Genomic DNA, 18,263 nt, shown 5'->3' on the forward strand with positions numbered 1-18,263 from the left:
AATAAAATAATGGACAAAGTCAATAAAACAAAAGCTTATTCTTTAAATAAAAATCACTGAAGTTGACAAACCTCTAGCAAAACTTAAAAAAAAATGCAAACTACCAATATCAGCAACAAAATGATAACTATCTCTACAGAACTTGCCAGTATCAAAAGGAAGACAACAGACTAACAAGAGCAGCTCTAGACAAATTAAAACAGATGGATTTGACCAATTCCTGAAAAAGCACAAATTCTAACAACTCATGTAACATGAAATAAATAATTTGGATTACCTTAAAACTAACTATTAAGTAAATTTAATTTGCAATTTGAAAACTCCCCCCAAAATGGACCAACTCCTCAAAATCCATAAACTATTAAAACTCAAGCAAGATTAATTAAAAATCTGAACAGCCTATATCCATCAAAAAACTGAATTTATAAATTGGGTCTGGAGTCACTGGAAAATTCTAAAAAACTTTAAAAAATGTAACACTAATTTTACACAATTTCTTCCAAAAATATAGAAAATGGAGAGAAGACTTTACAACACATTTTATGAGATTACTATTATCCTGTAACAAAAACATAACCAAAAAATTAAAAACAAACAAATGAAAAACTACAGACCAGTATTTTTCATCAACTTAGAAGTAAAAGCCCCCAATAAAATTTTAGCAAATAGAATCTAACCCTGTATAGATATGATTATACATCATGACAAAGTGAGATTTTTCCCAGGTGTGCAAAACTGGTTCAACATTTGAAAATCAATTAATGTAATTCACCATATCATCAAGCTAAAGAAAAAAAATCATATGATTCTATAGACAAAACAATACCACCCGCACCCCACCCTCACCTCCCATGGCCGAAAATGTCCAAGTCCTAATTTCTAAAATTGTTAATAGGTCATCTTAAATGACAAAAGGGATTTTGCAGTTGTGATTAAATTAAGGATTTTGAGATGAAGAGATTATCCTAGATTATTGGAGTAGGCCCAGTGTAATCACACAAATTCTTATAAGATGAAAGCAGGAAGATCAGAGTAAGAAAACGAAATATGATGATGGAAGCAGAGGTGAATGAGGGACAGAGAAAGAGAGATTTGAAGATGCTACATCACATGTCTTGAAGATGTTGGAAGAGGCTATGAACTAAGGAATGCAGAAGGACCCTGGAACCCAGAAAAGGAATAGCAGCACTTGATTTCTCAGAGCTTCCAGAAAGAACTCAATCCTTCCAACACATTGTTTTAGGACTTCATGATTTTAGAACTAAAAAGTAATATGTTTGTATTTTTTTAAGCCAAAAGTTTATGGTTTGTTATAGCAGCAATTTGCCAAAAGCCAACTTCATTCATGATAAAATTCTCAGCTCGTTAGGAATATAGGGAAATTACTTCAATTTGAAAAAGAGAATCACAAAAAAATCTACAATTTTCATACTTAAAGGATGAATGACAATGTTTTCCCCAAAGATAAGGAAAAAGGCAAGGATGCCTACTCTCACTGCTCTTATTCAACATAGTATTGAAAGTTTTAATGATAACAAGAAAAAAGTCATACCGATTTATATATGATTAAAAATATGATCTTTATTTATAGATAAATGATTATCTATATTAAAAATCTTAAAGAGTCTACAAAAAACAGCTATCACTGATAAATGAATATAATAAGGCTGCAGGATGCAAAATTAGCAAATAAATGTCAATTGCATTTTAATACACCAGCAACGAGCATGTGGAAAGAGAAATTAAAAATGCAATACTATTCACAATCACTACAAATAAAAAATAAATACTTGGGTATTGTTAACTTAAAAAAAACACAATTTACAAATTTAGAAAAGGAGAGGAGACTTTATTTCTGATAAAGCATTATAGCCTGCAAGGTGGCCCTCCTACAGGCTAGGAATGGTGCCTTCAGCCAAGACAAGACAGGTACATCAAAGGAGGAGGTGATGGATCGGGAGCTTTATGCTGAATGGGTTGGCTAAACATACATATTCAACAGGTTACAGAAGGAACTATGAATATTCACGAAGGTGGACCTGACACATGTGTGTTGAACAAACATGCATGTGACACACTATTTATGTTCACTTTGGGGTGGAAACTTAACATTCAAATGTATTGCAATTAGGTTCTATTGGTCAAAATGTCTTTTCAGGACACAAAGGCAGGCAAGTATGCAATATCTATAAACCCACCAGCACCAGAACCAGTCCAGACAGTGGTTTTCTTATGATGAGAGAGTTACTGAAATCAGTTTCTTTTCTAATCAAACCTATAGTTATGACTGGTAGAACAGGGCATCAGTTAGTCAGTGTCTGTGAGCTGGATGAGTTGTAATTGTTTGAATATTGCTTATCTTTAGGACAGTGTTTGTTTAGCTGCTAGAGTAAAGAAAACCTTGCGCCAATTGGAACATAGTTCCTTCTTTAAGTGTAGGGATGCGTGACTTAACCCTTGCCCAACACGGCCTTACGTTTTATTTATAGTTTGGTATAGTATTGCCACAAAGAGTCTGTTCTGTTAGTCTTAGAATCTCCATTTAGCTTTTTAACATTAAGTTGTATCTAAACCACAAAATAGAGATTTAGACAAGGCGTGTCTGACCTCCTATCCTGTCATGGTGAGGAACTCAGTTTTAAAGTTATTATGGGGTCCCCTTCACCACAAGGGGGTCCATTCAGTCAGTGGGGAGCTTAGGATTTTATTTCAAGTTAATGAGAATTGTAGATATTTTTGCAGATTCTCCTTTTGAAATCGAAGTAATTTAACATATACAAAATATAAATGTGTACAAATATGTACAAAAATTACAAAATTCTGACAAAAGATATCAAAGGAGACCCAAATGAATGGAGAAATAAATTATGTTCATGAATTTTCATTTAAGATATCAATTCTCCCCTAAATGGCTTATAGGTTTAATACAATTCCTATCAAAATCTCAGTAAGGTTTTCGGTAGACATAGGCTATTCTAAAATTTATATGAAGAGGCACAGATCCCAGAATAAACAACCTTGTGATGAAGAATAAAGTGAGAGGAAGGAATTATTTTCCATAATATTAAAGCTTTCTATATATGTATATACAAATGTATGTATGCATATATAATAATTAAGACAGTGTATTATTGATGAAAGGATAGTCACATAGATCAATTGAGCAGACTAGAGATCCAAAAATAGACCTATGTAGTATAACCAATTGATTTTTGACAATAAAAATCAATTTGATTGAGGATAGCTAGCCTTTTCACAAAACATTCCTGTAACAGTAGGCAAATGAATAAACTTCAAATTAAACTTCACATTTTATACAAAAATTAACTCTAAATGGAACACAGATTCAATTGTAAAACGTAAAACTCTAGATCTTTTTTAAAATAATAGGAAACCTTTGGGATGTGGGGCTAGGCAAAGAGTTCTTAGATTTTAAAATAAAAACATAATCTGTTAAAAGGAAAACGATTAAAAAAATGGGACTCATGAAATTTAAAAGATTATTTGATCTGTGAATCCCCATGTGAAGAGAATAAACAGAAAATCTACAGAGTAGGAAAATGTAGTTATAACCCAAATATATGACACAGGACCAGTATCTAGAATACAAAAAAAAAACTCAAAATTCAACATTAGAAGAAATTCAATATAAAAATGGACAAAAGACATGAACGGAGCTATCACCGGACAGGATGTACAGATGTTAAGTTGCATGTGAAAAGATGTTTAGCAGCGTTAATTCATTACAGAAATGCAAAAAAAAAAAAAAAACACAGTGAGACTTTATACACCTATCAGAATGGCTAAAATAAAAAATGATGACACCACCAAATGCCGAGAAGGATGAAGAAACATTGGATTGCTCATACATTGCTGATAGGAATTTAAAATGATACAGTCACTCTTGAAAACAGTTTGGTAGAATATGAAGTAAACTAAACATACAGCTACCATATGACCCAGCACTTGCGTCCCTGGGCATTTATCCCAAAGAAATAAGAAGCTATGTTCACACACACAAAAATCTGTATGTAAGTATTATAAGTAGCTTTATTTGTAATATTAAACAACTAGTATCAGCTCAGATATTCTTCAACAGGTGAATGGTTAGACAAACTGTACTACATACACACTCTGGTTTACTAACCAGCAATATAAAGGAACAACCTATTGATACACAAGCAACTTGGATGAATCTTCAGGAAATTATGCTGAATCAAAAGAAATCCACTTCTAAACGCTTACATGATATATGTTTCTGCTTATATAATAAAATGTTTGAAATAATAACATTTTAGAAATGGAGGCACATTTCTAGTGGCGAGGAGTTGAGGGAGAGGCGATTAAATGGCAATAGGAGGAATATTTGTGGTGATGGGAGTACTCAATATCTTGACTGTGGTGGTGGAGACAAGAGCTTACATAGGTGATACGATGGCATAGGATTTAATACACATCCACACACACATACACACACACACACACACACACACAATCAAAACTGGAAAAATTTGAATAAGATTGGTGAATGCTATCAATGTTCACATCTTGATTGTGATACTATATAGTACTATAGTTTCATACAAAACATTACCATCAGGGCGGGGCGCAGTGGCTCACGCCTGTAATCCCAGCACTTTGGGAGGCCAAGGTGGGTGGATCACGAAGTCAGGAGATTGAGGCCATCCTGGCTAACACAGTGAAACCGTGTCTCTACTAAAAATACAAAAAATTAGCTGGGCATGGTAGCGGGCGCCTATAGTCCCAGCTATTCAGGAAGCTGAGGCAGGATACTCGCTTGAACCCAGGAGGCAGAGGTTGCAGTGAGCCAAGATCGCGCAACTGCACTCCAGCATGGGCGACAGAGTGAGACTCTGTCACCAAAAAAAAAAAAAAAAAAAAAAAAAAAATTACCATCTGGTCAAGTTGATAAACTGTACAAGGTGTTACTCTGCTTTATTTCTTACAACTTCATGTGAATCTACAATTATCTCAATTTAAAAAACAATATCTAGAACACCTAAAAAAATGGAACAGAAGAGATAACACTCAAATCTCCTCAATGTAATTATTTTTGACAATTTTATTTTATCCCCATGCAATAAATATGAAGTCAAAATAAACATATTTTTACCCATTCTAGAACACACACTTTTTTTCCTTGAATACCCTTCAGAGGAAGATATTTCATAAACCACAACAAAATAATGCCAATAAAAGAAGAAGTCTGAGATTTCAGTAAAGAGAAAAGTTTTGGAACATGTCAAGAAAGCAATTAGTCTAGATTGAAACTTTAGGGCTCCCGAAGAGGTGTTTCAGAGAAAATAAATTGACTTCACATAAAAGGAAATATTCTTTTAAGGCTGGATATACATGAGGTGAATAAGAAGCCACATTATTATTTTTTGACAGCATTAAGAAATGACTGTTATTCAGCAATTTTAGGAAAACAAAAAGCTGTTCATCAAAGCGGTGATTAGTTGGTACAAAGTAACTTGTGATATTGTTTCAAAAAACTGAAGAAGTGTTGGGTAAGCATATGCATTTGACCTTGAATATAGGGACATCCTCCATTTATTACACATATAGATTTTTCATTCATTATTATTTGGCTACTGGACCTTTTTAAGTTAATTATTCTTTGGCACTATTAAAGACATCTTTAAGTTGGATTTTTAATCATGTTCTCTGTAAGCTGTATAATTTTAGCAAATGTGCAAACTGCCAAAGATTACAAAAAAGTGTTGATTTCTTCCAAAGTGCTAAAATAACTTTTGATTACAACTGGATTGGATTCCTGTCTGTTTTACTAAATGCATTTTTATTCTTTCTATCATTAATATTTCTTTATATAAAATGTAATGTTTTCAAACCCATAATAATCAATGAGTCTAAATTGTTATCTGTTATTTCTACAATATGTGTTTCCTTCTCAGAAATTAATGGAAGTTTGCAAGTCATAATAATTAGGTGTGACTGTTTATCTGAATGACATATGTTGGACATTTTAATAGTTTCAGAGAAATCTGTAAGCATCGTGTAAGAGTCATATAATGAAAAAGCCACCTGATATGAAAGAGAGAATTGTGGATGGTGGAAAATTAGCTATTAAAATAGAAAAATGCAGTTGGCAAAGGAGCAAATAGAAAACAGTAAACTGATGAGCAATTTCTCAACCAGGGAATAGGGTCAGGATGAAAAATGTTACTACAGTGGAATCATTCCTTAACTATTACATTTGCAGTTTTCCTATAATGAGTCAGAAATCCTTATCAAGAAAAAACAATTACTAAAGAATGTACCTTCTGGGAAGTAAATTTATAAGGTGAACATACTTAACTTAGAGACTAAATTAAAAAAAAAAGAAAAGATCACTAATATTCTCACAAAACATTAGCATTTTATTGGTTGCTAGAAGTTGCTGACAGGTTGTTAATAACAATAGCAAGCATAGAAAAGTGTGTCAAGCTTCCTGTTAACCAGTCTGTGTGGCTGTCACTTTTAGAGATTCATTTTATTGTGTGGACACATTACCAGATGAAATCAGTAGGTGGGTTGGTTTTGCCGCATCCCGCCCACCCTACTTTGACTTGAGAAAGTGCACTGGTATTTCTATTCAGCTCTACACTAATGCACCTGACTACTTCCTGAAACATTAATCAACCACAGCCAGAATGAAAATCAATATAACCCTGAAACATAGCTCCGGATACCAAAAATAAGTGTGAAAAAAAGACAGAACATGCGGCATTTTTCTCAATGTTTTGGAGAATTGTGCTAGCATTGCAAAGTACAAATGTTCTTTCTTCCCTCTGTAAACAGCTATGGATATGAATTTTATATGACATTTTCAATGCTACGTGATGTATTCCCAAAACAATATTATTGAAGGCTGAGTCTCTGTCCTCTACCGGCTGTTATTTATGATTGCTGCTTTGCGGCAAACAAAACACCAAACACAAATAATGGTGTGCTGTGTATAAAGTTTTTCCCCCCAGTGTAAAAAGCAAATGTATACATTTTGGTATTTGCTCATGAAAGAGGTTTGTCTATGTAAAACAGTATTCCTTTCAAGAGATCATGTAAGAAAATAAAACTGAGGTTGGCAACAAATTCTGTTGTATGAACTAATTGATTCAGCTGATAAACTGTAATCTGGGGCATGACAGATGGCAAGCAGGCCACTGCACCTCAATAAAGGGGAGGTCAAGCCTAATTGCTCTCTCTCTCTCTCTTACACACACACATTAGACTTAAATAGACAAGAGGAGTGAAATCTCTATTTCGTCATAATTTTAGATGTTTAATTGGCAGTTAATTTCAGAGCTGTTTGTTCACCCATATTTAGTTTTATTTTTTAAATAAACAGTATCTTTCAATAATTGTAGATCCTTTACTTGTTAATTTAATTGCCACATTAATTTCTTTGTTAATTTAATTTAATAATTGTTGATGCTTTGTAAATTTAATCAACAATTTTTGATATTTTACCGTTAGTATTTTTTTCTTTTTTTTTCCTTCCTTTTTCGAGACAGTTGCGCAATCACGGCTCACCGCAACCTCTGCCTCCCAGCTCAAGCAGTTCTCCAACCTCAGCCTCCTAAGTAGCAGGGACTACAGGGCGCACACCCAACTTTTTTTTTTTTTTTTAATTTTTCGTAGAGAAAGGCTGGTCTCCTGAGCTAAAGGATCTGCCTGCCTCTGCCTCCCAAAGTGCTGGAGCTATAGTCATGAGCCACTGTACCTGGGCCATTAGCACCTTTTTAAAAAGTGTCAGAAAATAATATAAAAATGGTGATGATCTTCCACATTTAAAATGAATTGAGATAAATATAAAATTTGTTTGCAGACCAGTAAAATACTGGAAATTCGATCATTATATTTTGTTCACAATCTTGATGCATTAGAAACAGAAAACTTAGGTAAACTGTATTTCATTTTATTACAGAGTTCGTTGTACTGGCACTTTACTGTGCTCTCCAACATTACATAATTCTCACTACAACACTGACATTATACTTCTCTCCCCCAGTTCTGTAACTAGTGTTTTCTCTAATTTTCATATTATTTCTCATGCACTATCTCAGTTGCCTATCACACAGAAACATTAGAGAGCATGTGTATTTTACAGAAATATTTTACAGAATTTTACAGAAAAAGAAACTGAAGTTCAAAAACTTAGAATGTATATACCAGATAGACAACTTCTGTCCAAATTAGGCAAGCTTTATTCAGGTGTGGCTCTCTCTCTAACCCCTAAACAGTCACCTACCTCACAATTTTAAAGAGGTCATGCTTCTTCAGAACTGTTTTCCTTTTGCTTTCTCTCATCTGGACCTTATGCTTCATTCTTCTTAAGTGAGACTTGGTCAAGGTGTTGACATGTACCCACCAAAAGGCTGAACCTTATTCTATCAGTTAACCACCAAGTCATAGCATTTGTGTTTGTTTTTCCTCATGTTACACTCCTCTAGTTAAAATTCTTGCCAAAAATCTAATTCTGACTCAACCTAGCACAAATTTAGTTTTTTTCTCATTATTTTTGGAGATTATTGTTTTTATGTTGATTCATGGTTTCTAATGTGTTGGACATAATAAGACATTTTGCAAAGAGGTTGGTGTGCACATAAAATTTACTTAATCACCAATTACCTCCAGTGCAATCAATGGATCATGCATCCTTTTCATGGCAGTATCTTTCCTTTAGGTTATACAACTCTGGCACATCAAGTTGGCCTATAATCTTGAGCCTTCAGTCCTAAGATTTAGTGCTTCTGATTCTTTTTGGAAATAGACTAAGAAAATTGCCCCTTAGTGTATGTTTTTATAAAGCTATTTAGCAATGAGATTCTGGGCACATGGGAACTTCTGGGAACGCTGTATTTCCATCAGTCTAAGGAAGTCTCTGTTAACATCTGCTAGACAGCACTGATTCACAGCATTAAGTGGAAGCTCAGGACATTTAGCAGTAGGAATTGTTAAAAGTGCTTAAAAATGGTTAAAAATATAGTTAATTTGAGTTATACTTCTCATTCCTGTCATTTGTTTCCCACTGCTAGAGAAGATAATTTCTCAGCAAGTGTTCAAAGAAATTCTCAGAAAGAAGCCAAGGGCAGATATAAATCCCTAATAATAAATAATAAGGTACAGGCTGTACAAAAATGATATTAGAACAGTTTTATTGCTTTAGATGGATCTTAAAATTCCTCAGGAATAGAAGAATAAAAGATGATTTATAATCCTTACAATTATGGCATTTGAATAACTGAATCCTGTTTTTAAATCATTGGGTGTGATAGTTCCCAAGTTTCACATGTGTCCTTTGAATTCATTTTTCAAAAAAGAATTATAATCTTCTGAACTTATTATAGTTGTGCTAATATCTTCACTGGTCTCATCCTGGAATCCTGAAAGAAGCTTTTCTTTTTCCAGACATTATTCACAAACCTGTTAATTGCGCACCAGGATTTTTGTTTATTTTGGATGCTGCAGCTACACTCTGGCTACTTAAGACTACGCACAGGGTGAGTTTTAGAGGTCTTTAAGATATTTGCCTGAAAATTTCTTGAGACTTCTTTCTGTATTAGTCTTTTTTATGCAATACTGGGAATTCTGAATCAGTCTGGAGCTATTAGGTTCTCTATGTGAGCTTTATATTAAGAAATCAAAAATGCCAAGTTTTCATGTTACCTAAGGATTATGAATAACAAGAAGTACATGTTATGCACCTTCCTTGTATTAAAAAAAATAGAACTATTACCTTTGGTATTTCAAACAGCGTTGATTTTTTTTTCCTCTCATGGTATTTGCATGCTCAAAATGTCATAAACTTTCATTATTAGACTAATAGGATTTACCCTGATTGAGTCTATGTACTGAACTCTATCCTAGAAATCATATATATGTATACTATAGACATAAGTTAATATATGTAAAGAACTTAGAACCTACTTTGACACATAAGCACTATGGTAGAGTTTTCTATTATGATGTTTTTTACTCTTACAATGTGACATAAGAGATTGTGCCCTCATTTTATAGGTAAGTGATCGAGGTTCACAAGCTAACTTTCATAAGTTAATATAGTTAATAAATATTTGTTCAGTAGTTTAAATGTACATTTCTGATTCCAAAGAAGGTGGTGGTTTCACTAGATTATTTTACCTCTCATTTAGGGGGTAGAATAAAACTCTCATAATTTTAGTCTCATAACACTTTGAAAATAGTTATTCCCATGTAAGTATTTTGATTTCGGTAGAGAAACACCACATTTTAAGAGAATTATGAATTCCACAAATATCAGAACAAATTACATGATTCAAATACACACAAAGAGAAAACAATATTTAGCAATGAAATGTTGTATTGCAAGACTTCAACTACAGCCTGGAATTCTGCTCATATGGCTTCATTTTGAGCTATATTGATTCTTATATAAAATATAACCCATAAAAGCTTTGATACATATTTTACTAGCCACAAACAGATTAAAGGCAGTAGAAAAACTATGCAGGTTATTTGAGAAAAATATCATTACTGCTGAGTTTTCAATGATTGACAGAAAGTATATGAGAATAACTTTAAAAGTAAAATTTTATCAAGAACTTGTGGTATAAAATATGATACTCAAAATTAGAAATCAAGGCATAGAAACAATAAGTGTAGAAACAGTATCCTCTACTTTTAAAGATCATCACGTAATTACTCACAGAACTAAGCTTCATTTTACTTGGAAAGTTATTTATGTTCAGTATATTTTCCCTCAGCAATTCTATACCCACAACAGACGCATAGACTCTCACAATTCCATATGTAAACAGTCTTTAACCGCAACAACGTTGGAAGATAAAATCAGGATTGTGCATGTAAATGTAGCAAGGTTAAATCGGCCTCCCATATCGAGGCTATACAAAACCTGCTGTACATTTCTACTTATGGTGCATTATCCAGACAATGAGTGTTTAAAAATCCTCTTCCACAGTGAATTGGAACTTGTCAACAAGTTTTCCACTTGTCATTATTTCCCAATATTATTGATAGCTAAAATGTTAAATAATGAAGAAAAGAATTAAGTATCTATTACAATGTTTCAATGGAGTACAAAAGAATGTTGTAGAATTCTAGTGCCTTGAGTAATGAAAAAGTTACACAGAAGGGCAAGGAGTATGTAACACACACTCCTGATATGATGCATATTATTTAAATATGATACAAAATCTGTTATGTATTCTTTCAGCTAAAATAAATAAATATATATATATATATAGTGTTTCTAGCAAAAAAAGAGATAATGTTAGAAATGATAATACAAGAAAATGTATATAGGTCACATACATTTATGAATTTATTGTAGAGTGTAAAATATTTTTATTTTGATAAACTTTCATGAATTAAAATATTTATTGCATATTAGTATTTGTCAGGTGCTGGGAGAGAAATCAGGGATAATGGGGCTTCTATAGGGTCTTTTTGTTCAAAGATTCATTCATTCAATGTTTCTTTATTTGGTTTGCCAAATATTTACCATCTACTGAACACCTACCAAGAAGAGTGGTATGCCTTAAAGATACTGGTCTATATATCTAGATGCCTACCAAGCAGGACCTTTAGCAGGCAACTCAGAGTGAAACTAGATCAAATTAAGTCATTATCTTTGCCTTTTCCCATCCACCAATCCTTTTATGTCCTTTCTATTGATATCTATCCTCACCCTCAACCCTGTCACTAACCTTGACACTTCATTCTTTCTGACATCATTTCAGTGTACTCAGCCAGCTACTAAGCCTTATGGATGGTACCTTATAAATTGCAACTGAATGTGTTTCTTTCTCTTTATTCCATTTGCAGTTATTTCATCCCCTTTATTTCTCATTTGAATTATTACAATTAACTCTGTTCTCAAGGGTCACTCTCCTCATGTCCATTCTCATCGTAGATATCAGTTTGCCCTTAACTAAAGTACACATTAGCTCATGTGGCAAACCACTGAAGAAGTTAGAGCAGAATAGACATCACCTACTGTGTGCTTTAGTTAAGAAAGAGCATATTACTTACATGGACTGACAAGTCATTCTAGAATAGTTCTTGTCTATATTTACTATTTTGTATCTAATAATTGTCTCACTCTCATCCTTCTTTCCAATCACAGTGAATCATTTATAATTCATAATATACAAAATTTAGTTTTAGGTATCTATGTCTTAGAACCTCTTGGTCCATTGATTTGTTCAAATAAATACTTAAACATTGAAGTGATTATCTCTCAATTTTGCCTGATCTATGTTTAGTGCTACTTTTTGTATAGTAGGAGACAGAGTTACTCTCTCGTCCTTGTTAGAGGAGTGTGGACATAAATAGAATTAGGCCAAAGAGATTTTCTCTTGGGATGTTTCTATCTTGACTGAAGACAAACAGAGGTGAAAGGCCATTAAAGAAGTACACATAAGATGTGGCCCAAAAGTTCTTATTAAGAAAATAATGTTCTTGCGATAGTTTACTGAGCACAAAAAACCAAACACCGCATATTCTCACTCATAGGTGGGAATTGAACAATGAGATCACATGGACACAGGAAGGGGAATATCACACTCTGGGGACTGTGGTGGGGTCGGGGGAGGGGGGAGGGATAGCATTGGGAGATATACCTAATGCTAGATGACACGTTAGTGGGTGCAGCGCACCAGCATGGCACATGTATACATATGTAACTAACCTGCACAATGTGCACATGTACCCTAAAACTTAAAGTATAATTAAAAAAAAACAAAAACAAAAACAAAAACAAAAAAAAAAAAAAGAAAATAATGTTTGTCAAATGTTTTTTTCAGTAATAGTTTTTATCAAAATGTTTTTTCTTTATTTAAATCATCATATGGGGGCTTCCTTCTTTATTCTGCTAGTTTGAATGATATAAATTTATTTTAAAATTTTAAAGCACCTTGAATTCTTGGAATAAACTCAACTTTGTCTCCATGAATAATCAAGTTTGCACAGCAGATTTTTAAAATTTGGAGATTCATAATATATTTTAATAATTTTACACATGATAAATGTGTAAATCAATAAATATTCAAAAGTGAAACACATTCTTGGAAGCCAAAACCAGTTCAATATATAGGCCAGTTGCTACAGACTTAGTCTGTATATGCCCCGATCTGTAAATTGGTAGGAAGAAACCTAATCCTCAGTGTGATTCTGGAGACTCTGGGAGGTGATTAGGTCATGAGAGCAGAGTCATAATGAATGAGATTATTGCCCTTATAAAAGAGACACCAGAGAGCTTCCTTTCCCCTTGTGCTATGTGAAAACACAGAAAGAAAACTGCTTTCTATGAACAAGCAAAGAGGCTACCACCAGACATGGAATCTATCAGCCCTTGATCTTGTACTTCCCAGCCCTGAGAACTGTAAGAAATAAATTTCTGTGGTTTTTAAGCCACCTCTTTATGGTAGTTAGTTACAGGAACTTGAACATACTAAGATGTTAGTATAAGTTCCCCCAGAAGCACACCTTGTTTCACCTTTCAGCCAAAATGTCCACTAGTTGAAAACACTCTCCTGATTTCTGTCATCATGGAATAGTATATCTTGTTTCTGAAATTTATACAAATGAAAAGGATTCTTTGAAGTAGCCTGCATCTAATAATTGTTTGGCATAGACAAAAGGCTGACCCCATGCTCCTTTTTCACACCTGGGGCAATTCTGAAGGGCTATTTCAAGCTTCAAAGCCCTCTGAGGCCTTGCTATGTCTGTGACATGTAACAAGTTACTTTGCCTGTCTGAGCTTTTGCATTCATTTTTTTAAAAGGTTGAAATAATTGTAGTACACAATACATAGAGTTATTATGATCATATGTGAGATTATGCATGTAAAGTCATTAGCATGAATCTGAGAATACAGTAAGGACTCATTATATAATTCTTATTGTACATATTAGACTCTGTATTCAGAGTCCATCACATTTGAATCCTAAATTCCTAAAGAATTAGTTCTTTGTTCAAATTCTAAAATATTCGTGTGATATATCCATTATCCTCCTCATTCCAGGTACTACGGTTGTGTAACAAATTATCATCAGATTTAGTGGCTTAAAACAACAACCATATTATGTTCACAAATTCAGAGGATCAAAAATTGAGAAAGAATACAGTGGGGACAGCTTGATTTTGCTCCACAATATCTGGATCATCAGATGTCAAGACTCAAGGGCTGGTGATGACTCAGATGGTTGTGGGCTAGAAGCATCTGAAGGCACATGCCCTCATATATTTTGTGCCCACTCATGGAGGACTCAAAATCGGGGCTGCTTAGTGGGCCACCTACTTGCGGCATTTCTGTTAGGCCTGGCTTCTGCATAATATAGTGACCTCAGGGTAGTTGGAGCCCTAACTGTAAATGTTTGAATAAGTTAAGCTGGAAACTGCATCATCATCTCTTCTGATGAAGCCTCAGAAGTAATGCAGCAGAATATCTGCTGCTTCTATTGCTTACAAGAAAGTTACAAGACCACCAAAGCCTCACCAAAATTATTGTTATGTTTCCTTGCATAACTTTTTTTTTTCTATTCTTTACAAGCGTAAGTCTCAAAGCAGTGGGGATATGCCCCATATCCAGTACATGAGGGAATTGAAAACCTTGTGACATAATTGCAAACGGGTGAGTGGTAGAAAGGAAAAAATGAAAAATATAATGAAGATTACAACTCAGAGTCTTCATTTAGTTTGGTGTTTCATGAGGGCTTGTTCAAAGAAGTTACATTTAGGCTTATAAATATGTGGTTTCTGAAATTATAAACTCTTGTCTTACACACCATTAATCCTGAAGAAAATACAACTTTCTAATAAGAAACATCTCTCAACTAGACAAAACATGCTGCAGACAGCTCCTTCTCAGATGAGGCCAGTGACTCTCTGGTCACTATTCATTAGAAGATGATTTGACACATATGTGTATTGGAACGACATATAATCAAATGCTCTCTAAAAGCCTTCAAGAGAGTCCCTGTCAATAAAACAGACCTAATTGGTTGGAGACATTTGTTTTCATTTACTACATTAACAATCAAATGTGCTCTAACTCATCATCCCCAAAGGACACCAGTAAGAGTTGGCCCTGGCCTCCTAAGATTACTTCTGATTCTTGGCAGAATATAATAGACTACAGAGCATTACAAGAGACACTGTAACATCTAAAGATTTCTGTGAGATGTGCTTGATACTATAGAAATAATAACAGATAAACTGTATCACCATTATCATCATCACTAATATTGAGTTATTTCTATGTGCCATGCACATTTTAAAGAACTACAGAAAATAATTTATATTATTGTCTTTATTTTATCATTAACAGAAAAAAAATTTCTCAAAAAGAAAATGCTTAATGTTCCCAAGGCCACACATCTTTGAAACAGCACAATCAATATCCCAACCAGTTTTCTTTTTTATTATTTTTTTTACATTAAACTTTATGCATTGGCACATGACAATTTTGCTTTCTTGCAAATCTAAATTACTATTGAGGCTGCCCATACTCCAACCTTTAAAAAGGAACCTTAGAGCACAAAAAGTGAGCTAAATGTATGCAAATTTTAAAAACATTTAGGAAGTTGTGAGATCCTATGTTGGAAAACAGAATGTGACAAAACGACTGGGGTGTACTATATGACATAACCTCAGTAATATGACAAGGAGTTAAAACCTACTGACAAAACTAACTTTAGAAACAACTCTAATGAATAAAGTTGTTTCCCAACATTACTGCATTATAATCCTCCATTCATAACCACAGTTATTTGTGCCTATTCTCATTTCATATAGTCATTACTTCCTTCTTTTCTTCTTTCTTTCCTTCTTGCCTACCAACATGCAAGTGGCTACCACGTGGTAGAAGACAAGACAAATAAATATCAGACCTATCCTTTTAATGCTTAAAACCCACTAAGAGGAGATAGATATTAGCATCAACAAGCAGAGTGACAGAAAAATGCACAACATATAGGAGGGCTACATAAAGGAATTTGCAATTAATTACTCCAATATACATAAAAGGAAGACATTAAAAGGCTACCCAGAAGGACTAATTTATATAAGGTAGACAATCCAGTTGTTTTTGTCTGTTTCTATTAACTCTGTCACAAAAGTCATTTCAAAAAATATTTCTCATCTAGCCAAAAAAAAAAAAAAAAAAACCCGGGAAACCAAAAACTACATTTTTAGTCATAGGCAATGCAAACAGTAGATTTAACAGCTACAAACCTATATATACAAAAGCTTAAGTCAAATAAAGTGTATGACTCTTTCATGGAGGTCAGGATGTGGGCAGTTCCAGGTTAGTATGGTGGTCCTTCTCCATGAGGTCTCTAGGAACTCAGCCTTTTCTCCTCCTGATTCATCAATAGTATGTAGCATTGTTCTAATGATTAAATATGTTAATTAGGTCTGGAACATATAATTCACATTCAGGTAGCAGATTGAAAAAACAGGTCTAGGAAAATGGGACAGGGATGACAGCTTACTGCCTTTCAGGGAAAGTTCCAGGAATTTGACCTATAACACTCCTATATAAAGCGTTACATACTATATACTATGTAACTAAGTATAGAGAATGTAGCATTTATTCAGAACCACTATACACTCAGCTACAATTTTACAATATAGCTATAGGTTCTACCGCACCGACTTACGATCCAGAGGGAATTAATTTGGTCTTTCTGAACATATTTATAAATCAACATCACCATTTTATAGCCATTACACACAGATTGTGGCTATAAAACAATGCTCCCTGGTATCACTTTATGCACTGATGAAAATTTATAAATTTTATAATATATATCTGTATTCTTCAATAAAATGGCCAGTAGCCTCATGAGCTATTATTGAGCACTTGAAATGTGACTTATGTGATTAAATAACTGAAATTTTATTTGATTTGTTTTTGTTTGCTTTAAACTCAATTTCAATAGCTACATGTGGCCAGTGGCTACCATATTAACAGCATAGCTAGAAAATTTAGAAAGCTCTCATAACAATGATTGGCTAAAATTTTCTTCCCAGCATTTGATGGACCACTTACAGATTTGTTTGCTTGATTACCTGTGAAGAGCATGCTTTCCAACTTATAGGAGACTTTTGTGATGATACATTAAACAAAACCATAGCCACAAATACGTGTTCTCTTCCTTTTTCCTATTTCCCTGTAAAGATTTTAGTCTAAATTTCCTATAATCTTGCTGCCTTTTGTATTTCTCATTTTAAAAATTAATAAAAATTTAAAAAAGGATCCAGTATGATCCTTTGTATTAATCTGTACCAATGTCTAAAAGAAATTGGGTCCTCACCCATCCCAGTGAGTGATGCCATAGGGATACATGGTAGAATTCAGCAGTAAAATCATCCTTTCCTTGGCTTTTCTTTGATGGGAGACTTTTTGTTACTGATCAATCTCATTACTCATTAGGACTGTTCGGGTTTTCTATTCCTGTTTCAAAATTGGTAGGTCATTTGTGTCAAGGAATTTATTTATTTATTTTTCCAGGTTTTCCAATTTGTTGGTGTATAGTTGTTAATAATAGTTTTAATGCTCTTTTTATTTCTGTGTTATCAGTTGTAATGTTTGGGTCTTCCCTTTTTTTTCCTAAGTCCATCTAGCTAATGGTGTATCGATTTTGTTTATATTTTCTAAAAACCAACTTTTCATTGTTGATCTTTTGTATTTTTGTTTCTATTTAGTTCTGCTCTGATCTTTATTATTTATTTCCTTCTACTAATTTTGGGTTGGGTTTGTACTTACTTTACTAGTTACTTGAGTTACATGTACTTCAAAACTGAATACTGCTACATTACCTGAAATGTATTTCCAAAAAAAAAGTTTAAATAGAGAATTTTTTAATAAATTTATTCCTAAACAATTGTTATTATTACTGAAAGTTTTTTTCTGAGGAAAATGCAGTTGAACTGATTACCGACTGCAAAAATCTAATAACTTTCATTTCAAAGAAAGCATGATGCATGCTGTCAAACATGTATTGTTCACTACACACTGTCACAAAATTCTTTTCTTGCCAGCATTCCAGAACAGATTTAAAGATAAATCAAACATTACCTGAGAATGACTGATTTAATCAATGCTCAAATGAAAGCAAGAAGCATTTTGCCTTAAATATTACACAAGAATTCATCATAAATGCACCACATTAAGAAGTACACTGCTATATGTTAATATCATGCATGATTACTAAAGAACAATATGTTTACTATTT

The sequence above is a fragment of the Homo sapiens genome, chromosome 12 (assembly GCF_000001405.40).
Source record: "Homo sapiens chromosome 12, GRCh38.p14 Primary Assembly".
Lineage (NCBI taxonomy): Eukaryota > Metazoa > Chordata > Mammalia > Primates > Hominidae > Homo > Homo sapiens.